Source organism: Homo sapiens, chromosome 20, assembly GCF_000001405.40.
Source record: "Homo sapiens chromosome 20, GRCh38.p14 Primary Assembly".
Taxonomy (NCBI): Eukaryota; Metazoa; Chordata; class Mammalia; order Primates; family Hominidae; genus Homo; species Homo sapiens.
Genome location: NC_000020.11, coordinates 19709906 through 19725014, shown reverse-complemented (window position 1 = coordinate 19725014; position 15109 = coordinate 19709906). Strand labels below are relative to the sequence as shown.

The following is a 15109-nucleotide window of genomic DNA, read 5'->3' as shown; positions in this document are numbered from 1 at the left end:
AGATGGAGTCTCGCTCTGTCGCCCAGGCTGGAGTGCAGTGGTGCGATCTCGGCTCACTGCAAGCTCCGCCTCCCAGGTTCACGCCCTTCTCCTGCCTCAGCCTCCCGAGTAGCTGGGACTACAGGCGCCCGCCACTGCGCCCGGCTAGTTTCTTGTATTTTTAGTGAAGACGGGGTTTCACCGTGGTCTCGACAATCTGAATATTTTTAAGAACAATTAGGTAAAATTCTAGGACACTATTTGGTTACATTTATTTTTATACACCACAACGTAAAACGGTCTGGATTTTACAATGTTATCACTCCTTACCTTTTTCTAAACATTCAGGCTTTTCTTTGAAGCTGGAATGCTTAAAATGAGCTCAAATTTGCTGCTTGAGTTATACAGAGTCTCGGATCCCTAGTATGCAAATCTAGGACTGTAAACTATAAGTGTCTGTAGCAAAAGACCTAGGAAAATAAAATGGCTTCTATCCACTTACCCTCTATGCCAGGTATCTTTTGGAGGTGAATACAAAACATATGCCTACAAAAGTGAACTATTACTAAAAAGGTAGAGCCAGCAGTTTTCTGTAGAAGGGGCAGACGCTATCTTTCCATTGTGCCTGGAAATATCCCCTCATAGTGACCTCTCAGTGTATCTGAGGCCACTTGAGGGCCTCAATGACTCCTCCTGGCAGTGACTCTCAGCAAGGTAGAAACAGAATCTCTGGGAACAGAGGGTCTTCTCCAGGTGCCAGCTGTTGGGGGCCACTAGGACACACTCAGGAGCAAGTGTGAGCCCCAGTGCCCATCTTCCCTTGGCCAAGGCCAGAAAGACGTCCCACTTGTGCACGAGGCTGCGGCCTGGGGAGTTCAGCCTGCTCAGAAAACTGCCGTGAGGGTTTCTCTAGGAGACATCGTCAGGTTTGGGGATATTGACAAAGGTTCTTTCCTCAAACTTATCCCAGCCCCATCTTAAGTCCCAGCTCAGCAGAAGTCGTGAAAAGAGCAATATCAGCAATCCGGCATCACTGAACAGCCGGCTCATTTCAAACCCCATTCTCAACTCACGACCCAAGACAGTTGTGCATGCCTGAGTTCTAGGCAGAAATAGGCTAAATTCTCATTTCAGAAAGGAAACCCCCACAGTTCCTGGGTTGGCAATCATTATGCATGGAAGCATGAAAACTCTACGCTGTCCCATAATTCTCACTTTGAGAAATTCAGCCATGAACTATAGTTTCTAAAGATTTCATAGAAAATGTATTTTTTTAAATCAAGCTTCTGACTAAATGTCTTTGCTTAATATTAAAAGTAAAACTAATTAAGACTAGTTTAACAAGATACTTAACATGAAAGTATCTAATGCTTTGTAGGCACTGATCAGCACAATGAAAATACCCTGCCCTGTGTCCAGGGTATATTTGTAAAATATACAAATATAGTAATAAAACATTTGAAGATGGAAACACTCAAAACATGCTAAGTATCTAGTATTCCTCCCACCTTGGGAATATATATTTTTCAACAGTTAAATAAAGTTGGTGCTGTGGATTAGTGGCTATTTTTCTTCTGCCTCTTATAAATGAATTATGCTGCATTTCTGGTGGAAGCCTAGCTCTCTGTGTTTACTAATTTAGATGTGGGTAGTTATTTCTTGAGCATCACCTAGAATCAGATCATGGCTTATTACAACTATGTTATTGTCACTTTTAAGGAATCAGCTTTGGGGAAATCTTAATTTTCACGATTAAGAACTACTAAAATCAGACAGAATGGAGAACTTGGCCACTCCAGAATGTCATCATCAGTACTGTGATGCTCCTTCTCTCATGTTCAATGGAAAGAATGAATTCTTAACTAATGTATTCTAGGACGGGTAGAGTTCTGGAATTCTGTGACAGGATGATAGGCCTAAAGTCCCTTCAAGATTTAGAGGGGACCCACAGCTGGCCACTTCATTCTCGTAATCTGCCACACGTACGCCAGCTTTCCAGGTGAGGCAACGCAGAAACAGCAGGTGGCAAATGCCTGGCCACATAGTGACTACAATCATTTTACCTCCCATACATTCTCCTCAATGAAAAATGCACAGCTTTCCAGGGGAGAAAGTAATGCACTCTGCTCTGGGAAGGATAGAGAACAGAGAAGTTTATTTTACACTATCCGTCCAAGAAAACAATCGCCATAAACCAGTGCAAAATGTGCAACAGAATCAATAAGTGTGTCTTAGCTCTGAGAGCCCAAATTGGTGATTTCTTCTCCTGTTCCTCAGTTGGGCACGTGCCCCATCCGTTAATGCTGGTTCGCACCACAGACAGAAACATTCAACCAATTTGTAGCAGGTTATTTTTACAAATTCATACCAGAATGTGTACAAGGGACAGGGAAAACCATACCGAATGAATGATAAGTGATCAGTGCTTAAAGTAAATACAAGGGACAGCACGGGCAAGAATCCACAGTTTCAATAAATACAAGTGAACAAGCATGGTGTGTCTCAACTGGGTGGAATTAGTCTGCATAATAATTCAGCATCATACAAAATCTAGCAGGGCTGTTGAGCAGTGATTGGCAAAAACGTTCACAATAACTTATGCCCTTGAGCGAGTCTGCATGTAACACATTCTGTGGTTTCAAAGGTGTCAGTTCTCTGTTTTCTCCTTCCCTGGCCATCCCTCCAGGAAGGGAGGGGTGCAGCTGGGCCGGCTTGGCGGAGGCGCCCCGTGAGGAAGGACGTTTGCCCAAGAGCCAGTGGTCAGGGTCCAGTGTACTCAATACCAAGTGGCAAATTGGGACTTAATTGACGACGTCTGTGCAAAGTGCGCTTCTCTCCATTTTCCAAGAAACCAGTGTCTGTAACTCCTGCATGAAAAGCAGTGGTGGCCTCTGGGTCACTCCCTGTCACCCCAAATGCCAAACAACAAGAGCACATCTCAGGGACTCACAAGTCGGGGAAGCTTCTGTTTTTGACTGCCTGGCAGCTCATGGATGGGTAGTTTGTTTAACTGGGGCCCCCTTGTCCAAGGCAGGCTAGAACTATTGCTTGAAAACTAGAAAGAACCTAGTGAGAAAGAGATGGTGATGATGGAATGAGGGAAGTTGTCTTCTTCCTCCAAAACCTTGTGCCCCCCCAACCCCAGGGGACGCCCATAAGACTTTAGCGAGGCGTCCTTGGCTATAAAATGTCATGCATTTGTTCTTGGTGGCCTTGCCCAGTGGCTCCTCTAAAAAGCACTACATCCATGCATACTCCAACACATCTGGGATGCAAGCCCAGACAACACGGCAGGTGCAGCCTTTGGGTAATTGATTAATCCAGAGCCCAGTGGAAGAAGATGCAAGAGAAGCTCTTGATCTCTGGAAGAAAAGGAGTAAAAGGGGAAGGCCCCCAAAAGAAAACAATCCCCCCAAACCCAGTAACCTAGGCATCATCTCCAAACCAAACAAAATCCCAAATGCTCTCTGTAATCAACGGGCCCCCTCCTCTCTATTTCTTCAACAGTCTCAGGTCACAAATTAGGTGAGTCTTCCATCAAATAACTTAAAAAAGGAGGAGGGATTGGAATCAGTGTTGCCTGGCTCAGGCCAGTTAGCAGCCAGTTTTTCTAGAATCTCAGTCACTGTTCAAAAATGGAGCTGGAAAAGTCACGTGGATGTTGGATGTCTTCACACGGAGGAGGCAGGAAAGGGTGGGTGGGCATGACCCAAGGAGGTGGGGGAGCGAGGATGGGTCAGGGGAGAGCCTGGGCCACCAAAACAGGAGCGGAGGCCTGAGGACAGCACAGGAGAGACGAACGCCGTGGCCCCGGGGGCCTGTGTGACTCGGGGTGCGGCCGGGTCTCGTATTGCACAGAAAAGAAGGAGCTGAGCCTCTGTGGGCACCCGGCGGCTCAGTGGTCCCCGCACATGGGCAGGTTCACAAAGGTGAACACGTTGAACTCAGTCATGATGGAGAAGCACAGGAACACACCATACAGGAGGAGGCACCCACAGCCCAGCTTCTTGTCCAGCTGCCACTTGTTCAGGTGGACGCCGAACACCTGCAGGGCACAGAACAGGTTCAGAGGGCACCAGGAGGAGGCAGCAGCCTTTGGGGGGTTGGTAGGGGAACCCAGGGGACCCGGGGAAGGGCTGCTGACTATGGGCCTCGGGCAGGGTGCTGATCCTCTCTGAGCCTGCAAAATCCACCTCTCGTCTCAGATTGTGGGAGGTGAGAACATCAACATCAGGAAGAAAGGAAGCCAGAAGCTGCTGGTTGTAGAAAAATAACTAAAACAAATGGCAGGACTCACAAGCACATCCCAGCAGCCAACCCTCTTTCACGAAGCTCCAACTCCACACCCCTGTGGGCCCTTCATCTGTTCTGGGCCTTCCCCATCTTGCTTTAAGCAGGCCCCCACTCCCCTGGGGACACTGACCCCTCAGTCCTCAGGCGGTGGCGGCTGCATCTCTTCCTACGGCTGCGTCTGGAGGTGAGAAGTTCCTCCCTCCCCACAGCAAATCATGGCTGCTTCCAGACCATTTTCCTTCTCTCCTCCCTAAAAACACTGAGCCTGGAATCTCGGTTCTTCCCACAGTTCCTCTTGGTTCTGCCTGTTGCAGCCAACGATGTAACCCCGGCCACTGCCTATCCTTGAAGCTTTCCGCCCGGCTCTTGCCACTCTCCACTGCACTCCTGCTGACTTTCTCTGTGATTTCAATGCCTCCAGAGGGGAGAGGGTCTTTCCAACACCCTGCCCCATCAAGTCCTCATCCTTCATCTGGCCTCAGCCACTCACACCCACCAGCCTATGTGCTACCCAAATTTAAATGAAATAAAATTAAAACACAGCTCCACATTTCAAGTGCTACAGCCAACCATAGCCAGTGGTACTGTCCAGCCCAGGTGTAGGCCATTTCACTGCAGAAAGGTCTGCTGGGTGGCACTGGGGCCTAGATGTTGCTATTGGCAGTGACAGAAGCATCTGTCTTATCTTAGTGTCACTCATCCCACTTTCTGACTCAAATCTCTTCCTTTCTAGCTTACTCCGCCTGATTCCCCAGCTCCCACAACTCTGCAAATGCCCATAGCCCACACCTCATTGATACCATCACCACTTCTCTAGGCTTCACCCACTTTGCCCGTTTCCTTCTCTCCTTCCTCTGATTCAATTCCACCCACACTCGCTGGAGTCACTCCGGGGCATCCACCCTGATTCCCTGGCCTCTCTCTTGCTTGGTTGTCCTTGCTTGGCTAAGCCATAGCCCTTCAGTTCAAGCCAAGTCCCAATCTGGTTCATGCTGCATCCACGCAGCTGTCCATCAGGGTTGGAGGAAATCGGTCAGCCATGCGGATGGGTCTTATTTTAAATTAGAGACCACTGACATTAAGTGGGTCATTCATGCTTTTCAGCAGGCATCTCATCCTTCCCTAGTCCCTTGTCTCTCCCTTCCCCAGACGGCTACTTCACACCTCTCCCCTTTCTTCCAATCTCCGACACTCACTTCCCCGTCCTCACTTATCCCCACGGCACAGAGCTCCCAACCCCACCTCCCTGCCTTCTCTCCTGGCAGTGAGGTCAACTCCACCCTGCATGCCCCAGATCCCATCTCCCACCCTTCTTAAGGACCTGGTTCCAGCAACTCCCTCTCCTCTAGCACATGCCCCAACTCCATCCCTGGATTATTCTAATTGGCATACAAAGATTCTGTTATCTTATTCATCTTAAAATAACACTTTTTTTCCTGAATTTCCGTTTTTCTCCTTTCTTTACAGTCAGATAACATGAAAGAGTTGTGAATGTCTGCCCACGGTCTCCAATCTCTCTCCTTTCATTCTCTATTAACTTATTCCACTTGACTCCACAGCACTACCCTCTCATTAGCACCAATGGTTTTGCATTGCTAACTCCCATGGCCAATGCTCAGGGCTCCTCTCCCTGACTCAGCCAATAGCTCCCTCCACCTGGAAAACCCTCCAGCAGGTGGCTTCCAGGACCCTGCACTCTCGTGGTTTTATTCCCGCATCTCCAAACTGTTCCTTCTCTGTTTCTTTTGGTGTTTCTTCCTTATCATCCTGACCTGTAAGCATCAGACTGCCTCAACACTGAGATCTTGGGGCTCTTCTCTCTTTTGTGTACACTCATTCCCTTGGAGATCTCTCCCAACTGCAGGGCTTTAAATACCATCTACACTATGGTGTCTCTAGACTGAACATTTCTCGTGAACTCAGACTTATATTTCCAATGGCTTTCTTGACCTCTTCCTTTGGATGTCAAACAGGCATTGCAAACTTAAGATGTTTAAAATTGCTTTTCCTCCCCCAAACCTGCCTCTCTTCAGCATTTTGGTAACCTCATTTTGACAGCCCAGTTAGTGGTTAGCCAGGTCTCCTGTAGATGGTATAACTATAGCATAGCCTAAAAAGATGCACCGTAGCTATGATTGTGCACCCTGGTGTCAGATGCTTGTTCCTCCATTCACTTGGTGTCAATAAAAAGGAGTCAATTAGCTCCTCTAGGCCTCAGTCGCTCATTTGTATAATAGGTTGATCTTAGTGAACCTCATGGGGGGCATGATGAGCTCCAAATGGGAAGATATGTATACAAAACATTAAGTACGGCGTGTGGCTATTACAAATATCACCACTCCAAGTCATAGCAGAACTGCAGGACCTCCTAAACCATAAGAGCATGAATGATGTCGATTTGCACTTTTGTATAAGGCAGTATTAGCTTTGGTGAAATCTTGACATTCAATTCACACCCTGATCCTGTAAACTACTTATTTTGCTTCCTGCCTGTCCTTCTGAATTCCCATTCTCTGGCATATTTATGCTAACAACATGCCAGGTGTAACTCAATGACTATTTCCTTGAATAATTAAGGAAAAAACATATTGTGTCTCAATGCTGCTTAATGCCAACAGCATATTTGTATGTTAATGGATGCTTCATGTGGATGAGTCCATGCGTTGGTGTGAACTTGTTCCAAACACAACAGTTGAGTTGGGAATATTAAAGTACGCAAGTGGGCGTAATGGCTGAGAGAGTGGAATGGCCTCAAAATGTACTGTCAATAAAATATATTTTTAGTTTCCAAGTATTAGTCAAATTCATGGATTCGTATGGGAACCTGGAACAATCAATGAATTGGAATCTACCTTTCCATGACTCATATTGCAGACAAAGTGGGATCTTCTCTTTGTGTTTGGGAAAATGGTTTGCTTTCTATGTAAGATAGGGCCATGCCTTTGAGAGGAAGGCTGGCTTCTTTCAGAAAGGGAGAAGGTGTTCTAGTGGGTTGCTAGGACTCACTTCTAGAAGAAAGAGCCAGGAGATGGGACAAGGAGGTTGCTTGTACCCAGTCACCAGGAGACCAAGCTCATCTGGTCTCCAAAGAAACCAAGGGGAGGAAAGAACAGGCAAACACAAGTACGAGGAGAGAGCTGCCAACCTACCGTGACAAAAACAGAGGCCAGGAGCAAGCCTACGGAGTAGATCAGCCCCCTGCTATTCAGCCGGATCTGTAAGAGAGGGTTAGAGTTAGGCTTCTGACAAGCTAGGCTTCCAAAGCAGAGTTAGGCTTTGGAAAAGGCATCTGCCTACGCAACTCTGAGTAGCAGTGATTCCACATCTCCCCTCTAGAATGAAAAAGCAACAGCTTCAGCAGCCAGCTCCACAGCTTATACTTGAGACGTGTGCTGTTCTGGAAACCCAAGGCTTGTCTTTGTCTTGTCCACTCTCAGTCCCATCCTGGCCTTACCCTCAATAGCAGGCCCCTGGCTGGAGTGCCCCACGGCCACCTGAACCCTCTATCTGGGACTGTGAGATTCTTGTGGCCCACAACACATCCCTGTCCACGTGTTCCTTTACCTCTGGGGAACTTTTACTTTCTCAAACCCGTACTGCTTTTAGGATGAATTTCATGACATGGGCAATGGAAAAATATGAATAAACTTTTCATCTCTTTTGCACCAAAATGTCTCTGTCCTTCCCCTAACTTGATGGGAAGAAGTGGAGGAGGGTTGCTGTTGTGAGCAAACAAAACAGAAGAAAAAGTTAAAATTCCATTTCTGATGTTAGTAAAGGGATTTTTGGAGGTTTGTTTTTTGCAGAATGGGGATAACAGCCAATGAAGAGAAAAAGAGAAGCATATTTGGAGTTCCTTCTTTTTTTTTGAGACAGGGTTTCACTCTGTTACCCAGGCTGGGGTGCAGTGGTGTGATCTTGGCTCACTATAGCCTCAACCTCCCAGCCACAAGTGATCCTCCCACCTCAGCCTCCTGAGGACTACAGGCACACACCATCACACCTGGCTGATTTTTGATTTTTTGTAGAGACTAGGTCTCACTACGTTGCCCGGGCTGGTCTTGAACTCCTGGAAGCAAGTGATCCTCCCAGCTCGGCCACCCAAAGTGCTCATTACAAGCAGCCCAACATGCTCTCAAAGTGGCTCATTACAAGCATGAGACACTGCACCCAGCCTTGGAGTTTCTATAGAATAGCACTGATGAGCAGAACTTTCTGTGGTGATGGAAAAGTTCTATATCTGTGCTCTCCAACATGGTAGCCATTAGGTACAGGTGGCTGTTGGGCATTTGAAATGTGTCTCATGCAACTGAAAAAAAAAGAAACAGTTTTAATCTCATCTTTAACCAAATTTACATTTAAAGAGCCACATGTGGTTGTGGCTATAATATCAAGCAGAGCAGGTAGAGAGTACTGGGGTGCTGACTTGGCTGACAAAGGCCAAATAGTTTCTTTCATGATGTAGAGAAGACACTGCTTCTGCCTTTGACCAAAGTCATGAGGCCGGCTGCCCCAAAATAGAAGAGATTCCTTAGAGCAGTGGTTCTCAGAGGGTGGTTTTGGGGCCAGCAGCGGCAGCAGCTCTCGGGAACTTGTTAGAAATGCAGGATCTCAGGCCCCACCCAGAACTCCTGAATCAGAAACCCTGGGGCAGGGCCCAAGAATCTGTGCTTTAACTCCAGGTGATTCTGATGCACAGGAAAGTTTAAGAACCACTGATTTAGAGAAAGCATAAAGCTCAGATCCACTTCTGTTCTCCAAGGGTTCTGTGGAAGGGATCTTGACATTCATTTTTCACATGTTTTCTTGGAAATGCTTGTGTGCATTCAGGTTTGAGGACTACAGACCCCAACCAATGTACACTCTCCTGCAGGGAGTGAAAAGCTTCTCTACGTTCTTGGGAAGGGAAAGTGAGGCTGGTTGATTTGTGCATTGTTTCTGTTAGACAACTAAGTGGTAATTATCGAGTAGGAGTGGTTCTGGGCCCTTCTGACAGGGTTTAAGGTACCTCTTGGCATGACTGCACCAGTTCACTACTGGAGTGTGCATATGGGAAGGAGTCTCCATAGGTGGGTGTGTCAGGTTTATTTTCTGACAGGACAGAAAATAGGGACACCATACGCCCTAAACAGCCAACCCTTTCTGTGAAGATGTGACTTAATGATGTCCTGTCACAGAGGGATTGAGCTGGACTCTTTCTCTCGTGACTTGCAATCCCTGTGAGTCAACCATTTGCTGGCCCCCAGCTGGAACATGCTTCCCTGCCACCAAATGCCTTCCCGAGAATAAAGGAAGACTCAAGTCATATCTCTGTGACACTAGAGCAATGGCTTAACCTGGTTAATTCAGTGTGGAAAAATGGCAGATCGGCCCCGTCGCAGTCCAGCTGGTGGCTTAACTTCATGCACACACTCAACCTGACTGCGGATAGACTTTCCTACTTTCATCAGCTGGGTTGGTATAAAGAGGCCAGCATACAAGACTGCATCGCAAATGGGTTGTACTGAAGATTTTCTTCCTCCAAATATTCTGTCCACACTGACTATGATAATCCCCTGTGTTCTGGTCAATGTTGAATGGGAGAGATGGGCTCCTCAGAGCAAGATGGCAACCCCTAGGAGAGAGGAAGAGGCTCTTGGAGCTATCCTCAGTCACCCTTGGGTAGATGTGAAACTGTAGATAAACACTCAGGAATCCTTTTGAGCTCTTAACTTTCAGCACTGCGCATACAGATATCTTCTAAGAGGGGCAATGCATTTCCAGCACAGCTTGCCCTCTGAGCTCCAGGGTCAAACCCTTGTCAGCAACAAGAACTTAGTAAAGTGATTTCATGCCCTTAAGAAACCAAGAGCCAGTGACAGCAAAGCTCCTAGCAGGAAAATTCCCTTTGGCCAAACATTTTCAAAAGGAATCCTGTTAAACCAAAGCTTTTGAACTTTACTCTTCCTATGTTCACATGAAATCTCGAAGAACAGTGTGGCTGAAATTCTAAATCTGGTTCCAGAGGCCAAAGGCAACTCACTCTTTTGTGGAGTTGCTGTGTTTTTAACTTCTCACCTTTTTCTCTATGGCCTTCCTTTGGTCATGAACTACTACACACACCCAGGGGTGTATTTTTGTGTTTTCATTGTTAGAGACCTGGGCTCTCAAAGCCTGTATTTACTCCTTGCTGTCTGACCCTTGTACTTCCACCAGGATGTGACAGGCAGGAATGAGGGCTCCTTCAGCTGCCTTCTGGCCCAGCTCAAACATCTCCCAGCTGCTGCAGCTATGGATGGTTTGGGGCAGGAGTCATTGCCATTGCCTCTTTTTGTTGTTTTTTTTTTTTTTTTTTTTTAGAGACTGGGTCTCATTGTGTTGTCCAGGCTGGAGTGCAGAGGTGAAATCATAGCTCACTGTAGCTTTGAACTCCTGTGCCCAAGTGATCCTCCTGCCTTAGCCTCCCAAGTAGCTGGGACTATAGGCACACACCACTATGCCTAGCTAATTTGTTGTTGTTGTTTGTAAAGATAGGATCTTGCTATGTTGCTCAGGCTGGTCTCAAACTCCTGGCCTCAAGCAATCCTCCAGCATTGGCCTCCCAAAGTGCTGGAATTACAAGCATGAGCCACGGCATCTGGCTCCAGCCTGTCTTTGTAAATAAAATTTTATTGGAACTCAGTTCATTCATTTATGTATCATCAATGGCTATTTTCACACGACAGCAGCTGAGCTGAGTGGTTTTGATGGAGACAGCATGATCCACAGGGCTTAAAATATTTCCTCTCTGGCCCCTTGTAGAAAATGTTTGCAACCCTCTGGTTTAAGGCATGGACTCCAGAGCTAACTTCCTGGGTTTTGAATCTCTTCTTGGTCATTCACTTGCTGTATCATCATGGATGGGTAACTGAACTTCTCTAAGCCTCAGTTTTTCAAAGTGTAAAATGGGGATAATACAGTTCCTGCTTTGTTGGTGCTTATGAGGTTGAACTGAATTAATCCACGTTAAAACTGTTGAACAGGGCCTGGTGTGTAATACCTTCTGAATAATTGGGGGCTGGGTCCACTTCCTTGCACCCGAGGCTGCTTCTTTTCTAAACCTATCACTGAACAATAGCTTACTAGATTACAGACACCGCAAGGGTAGGAACCACGTCTGACTTTACCCTCCACCTGGCAGAGGGCTGGGCACAGACCACGTGCTTAAAACGTAACTGATGAATGAATAAGGCATGTCCATGAAGTCTCATTTGGAATATGCATTATAAGGAGGCCAGTGTTCTGTGGGGCAGCAGGGACTGGTCAGAGTGAGGTTGGAAGCAGAGAGACCCCGGATGCCACTCCCTGGATAATGTTCCAGAAGCAATGTGGTCTCTGCCCAATGTACTCTCTCTCCCTTCCCCACTTTACTTAAATTATTTTGAGTCTATGTAGTGTTTTTAAACCCAGCATGCTGCTATGGAAGTTTTCAAGCATTCAGGAAAGTTGGAAGAATTATACCATCTTATTTTTTTAAGAGCAGGGCATGTCCACGTGTGCTTGTGGGAACTTCAAAGTAAACTGCAGAGACCAGGCCATTTCACCCCTCAGCACTCCTGCCTGCATCTCATTAAGTAGAGTTCATTCACAATTCATGGGTCTTTTATTCTTAGATGCCATTTTACATGGTAAAATTCCCACCACAAAATTGTACCATTCAACAGGTTCTGAGAAATGCATACACCCATGTAACTCAAACTCTACCATGGCTCAGAACACTTCTGTCATTCCAGAAAGTTCTCAGGTGCCCTTCTGTAAGCCTTGCCTGAGGCAGGCACTGCCCTGTTTCTCTACCACAAGGCAGTTCAGCCTGTCCTAGAGCTTCATAGCAATGGAATCCTGCAGCGTGTACTCTTTTATATCCGCATCATTTTTAAAGACTCCTTCAATGTTTTCATTGCATCAACAGCTCATTTATTTTTACAGCAGTGTAAATATGCCACGGTGTGTTTAATTATGCTCCTGTTGATGGACATCTGGGCCACTTCCAGTTTTGGGCTATTAATGTGTATTACTTTTATAATTCAAAAGCAAAATGAAAAGAGGCCTGTAGGGCTCCTCCTTCCTGACAGGCTAGCCATTAATGAAGATCGAGGAGGGCCAGGAGCTCTGCTAAGGACCTCATGTCACTGTCTCATATCCTAGCACCCCTTCTCTGTAGTCAGCACCTTAAGCACACTCCTGTGCCCTCTTTGAGACTTTCGGTCTAGCTAGGTGGGGGTCTCACCTCCTTCCCACCTCTACTCTGCCCATCCTGCCATAAGTCCTTTTGCCTCTTCCAAGTTCACTATTGTCCCTATGGTGCTGATGTCGTCCTGCTTGTGCTTGGGTTGGGGCATGTTCTTACCAGAACAGCAGGTCCAAATGCTCAGAGGGCAGATGCCTGGCTCGTGAGTTTTTCCTCACTCTAGCACCTAATTCCCTCACCCCTCCAGTCCCTGGCTCCACATACTGTATGTTTAAATGAGCATCTGGGCCAGGCGTGGTGACTTATGCCTGCAATTCTAGCACTTTGGGAAGGTGATGTAGGTGGGTTGCCTGAATCTAGGAGTTAAAGACCAGCCTGGGCAACATAGTGAGACCTCAACTCTACAAAAAATAAAAATAAAAATTAGCCAGTTCTGTTGGAGTGTCTCTATAGTCCCAGCTACTTGAAAGGGTGAGGTGGGAGGATCACTTGAGCTGGGAAGGTCGAGGCTACAGTGAGCTGTGATCCCACCACTGCACTCCAGCCTGGGTGGCAGAGCAAAACCCTACCCCAAACAAACAAACAAAATGAGCATCTGCGGCCAGGCGCGGTAGCTCACACCTGTAACCCTAGCACTTTGGGAGGCCAAAGCGGGCAGATCACGAGGTCAAGAGATCAAGACCATCCTGGCCAACATGGTGAAAACCTGTCTCTACTCAAAACACAAAAATTAGCTGGGCATGGCGATGCGTACCTGTAGTTCCAGCTACTTGGGAGGCTGAAGCAGGAGAATTGCTTGAACCTTGGAAGCGGAGGTTGCAGTGAGCTGAGATCAAGCCACTGCACTCCAGCCTGGCGACAGAGTGAAACTCTTGTCGAAAAAAAAAAAAGAAAAAAGCATCTGCTGGTGATTCTGAGCATGGGTGTGTGTGTTTGTGTGCATGTGTTTGCATGTGAGCATGCACGTGTGTGCGTTTGCCTGCATGTTTGCATGTTTGCATGCATGTGTGTGTTTGCCTGCATGTTTGCATGCACGTGTGTGCATTTGCCTGCATGTGTTTGCATTTGTGCATGTGTGTGTGTGCACGCGTTTGCCTGCATGTGTTTGCATGTGTGTGTGCATTTGCCTGTGTGTTTGCATGTGTGGATATGTGTGCGTTTGCTTGCATGTGTGCATGCATGTGTGTGGTATGTTTGCACGTGTGCATGCATGTGTGTGCGTTTGTATGTGTGCATGTGTGTGCGTGTTTGCATGCATATGTTTGCATGTGTGCATGTGTGTGTGCACATTTGCCTGCGTGTGTCTGCATGTGTGTGTGCGTTTGCCTGCATGTTTGCATGTGTGGATGCGTGTGTGTGTACGTTTGCCTGCATGTTTGCATGTGTGGATGTGTGTGTGTGTGTTTGCCTGCATGTGTCTGCCTGTGTGCATGTGTTTATGTGCCTTTGTCTGTGTGTGTCTGCATGTGTGCATGCATGTGCATACTGGGAGGCAGTGAGACTGCATGTGCATACTGGGAGGCAGTGAGACTGCATAGCAAAGGGCAAGAGTGGAGAGTTGATTGGGAGACAGGCCATGGTGAGGGTTGGCTTTAAGCCGATCTCCGCAAGTAACAAAGCAAGAGGGAACCAAATTGCTTTTTAATTGAGGCATAATTTGCATAGAGTAAAATGCACAGATCTTAAGTGTTCTTACTACTGGATGAGTTTTGACAAATACCTATACTCATGTAATCCACACTTCAACAAAAATAAAAAACATTTTCATCATCCCAGTAACTTTCCCTGAAGGCAGTAAAACACTTTCTTGAGGCATGCTAAGCCAAATGATATCACCAAACCCTTCTCATCCGTGAATGACCTTTGGACAGGCCTGCACAGTGTTGAACTAGATCATCTCCCTCCTCCCTGCCTCAAAGACGCAAGGAACATTAAGTGCCAATGCAGAAAATCTTCAAGGCAATGCTGATCTGAGAGCATGTGAGGCACATCTCAGATTGTTCAGTCCTGACATTTAATGCTGTTTTCATTTCTTGCCTTAAGAAGCATGCATTTTCATTCTCTAATTCCCTCTTGGCAGTTGTTGTGGAGGAAACAGGAGGGTGGCTAGTTCCAAAGTCAACAGGGATTTAGCCCACAGTGCATGTATATTTTTTAGTACGGATGCAGACACAGATACTCATTCATACCAAGTTTCATGCATACTTGCTGCTCATAAAACAGTTCTTTGAACCCTATTACCTTTGGAGAGCCAACACCCCCACCCTAAAAGATTCTGATTTCCCTAATACTACAGTTTAAAATCTCTCTCTAGTTTGTGGTCAGCTTGACCCAACCAACAAATTCCTTTAGGAAAAATAAGAAGCCCCTGGATTTTTGCTAATTTATTTCTAACTTGGAACATATGTGGCATGTCATTTCACATTTTCTTATTTGGGTAGTTTTACACTTGTTTGGGTGTAGTTTCCAAATGGATGTTCCCAGCTGTGGCTTTACATTGTAAAATATCACTGGGTGGCAATCTCTTTGTTTGAACAATTAAATGAGGTAAGACAGTGACCCAGCCCACAGAAAAGAAGCAATTTAATGACAGTTGCATCCCTAAGTCCTTTAGTCATTTAGTACAATAGT

The 15109-nt window shown here is 46.5% G+C and overlaps 1 protein-coding gene across 1 annotated transcript in view, besides 1 other annotated feature; it reads right to left on the bottom strand.

The window, feature by feature from the left end:
* Positions 1-2088: 2088 nt before the first annotated feature.
* The window catches only part of SLC24A3 (solute carrier family 24 member 3), a 510285-nt gene continuing 497264 nt past the window's right edge, over positions 2089-15109 (bottom strand). Inside the window, exons 16-17 of the mRNA NM_020689.4 lie at positions 7422-7487; positions 2089-4024 (exon numbers count right to left, since the gene is read on the bottom strand). Of these exons, the coding sequence (NP_065740.2) occupies positions 3875-4024; positions 7422-7487 (216 nt within the window). The 3' untranslated portion in view covers positions 2089-3874. The remainder of the gene's footprint in view (positions 4025-7421; positions 7488-15109) is intronic.
* Positions 13212-13712: an enhancer, noted in NCBI's record as "H3K4me1 hESC enhancer chr20:19691947-19692447 (GRCh37/hg19 assembly coordinates)". NCBI's record gives its function as "activates a minimal SCP1, AML or CMV promoter by ChIP-STARR-seq in primed H9 embryonic stem cells {active_cell/tissue: H9 hESC(primed)}" and the evidence as "EXISTENCE:reporter gene assay evidence [ECO:0000049][PMID:30033119]".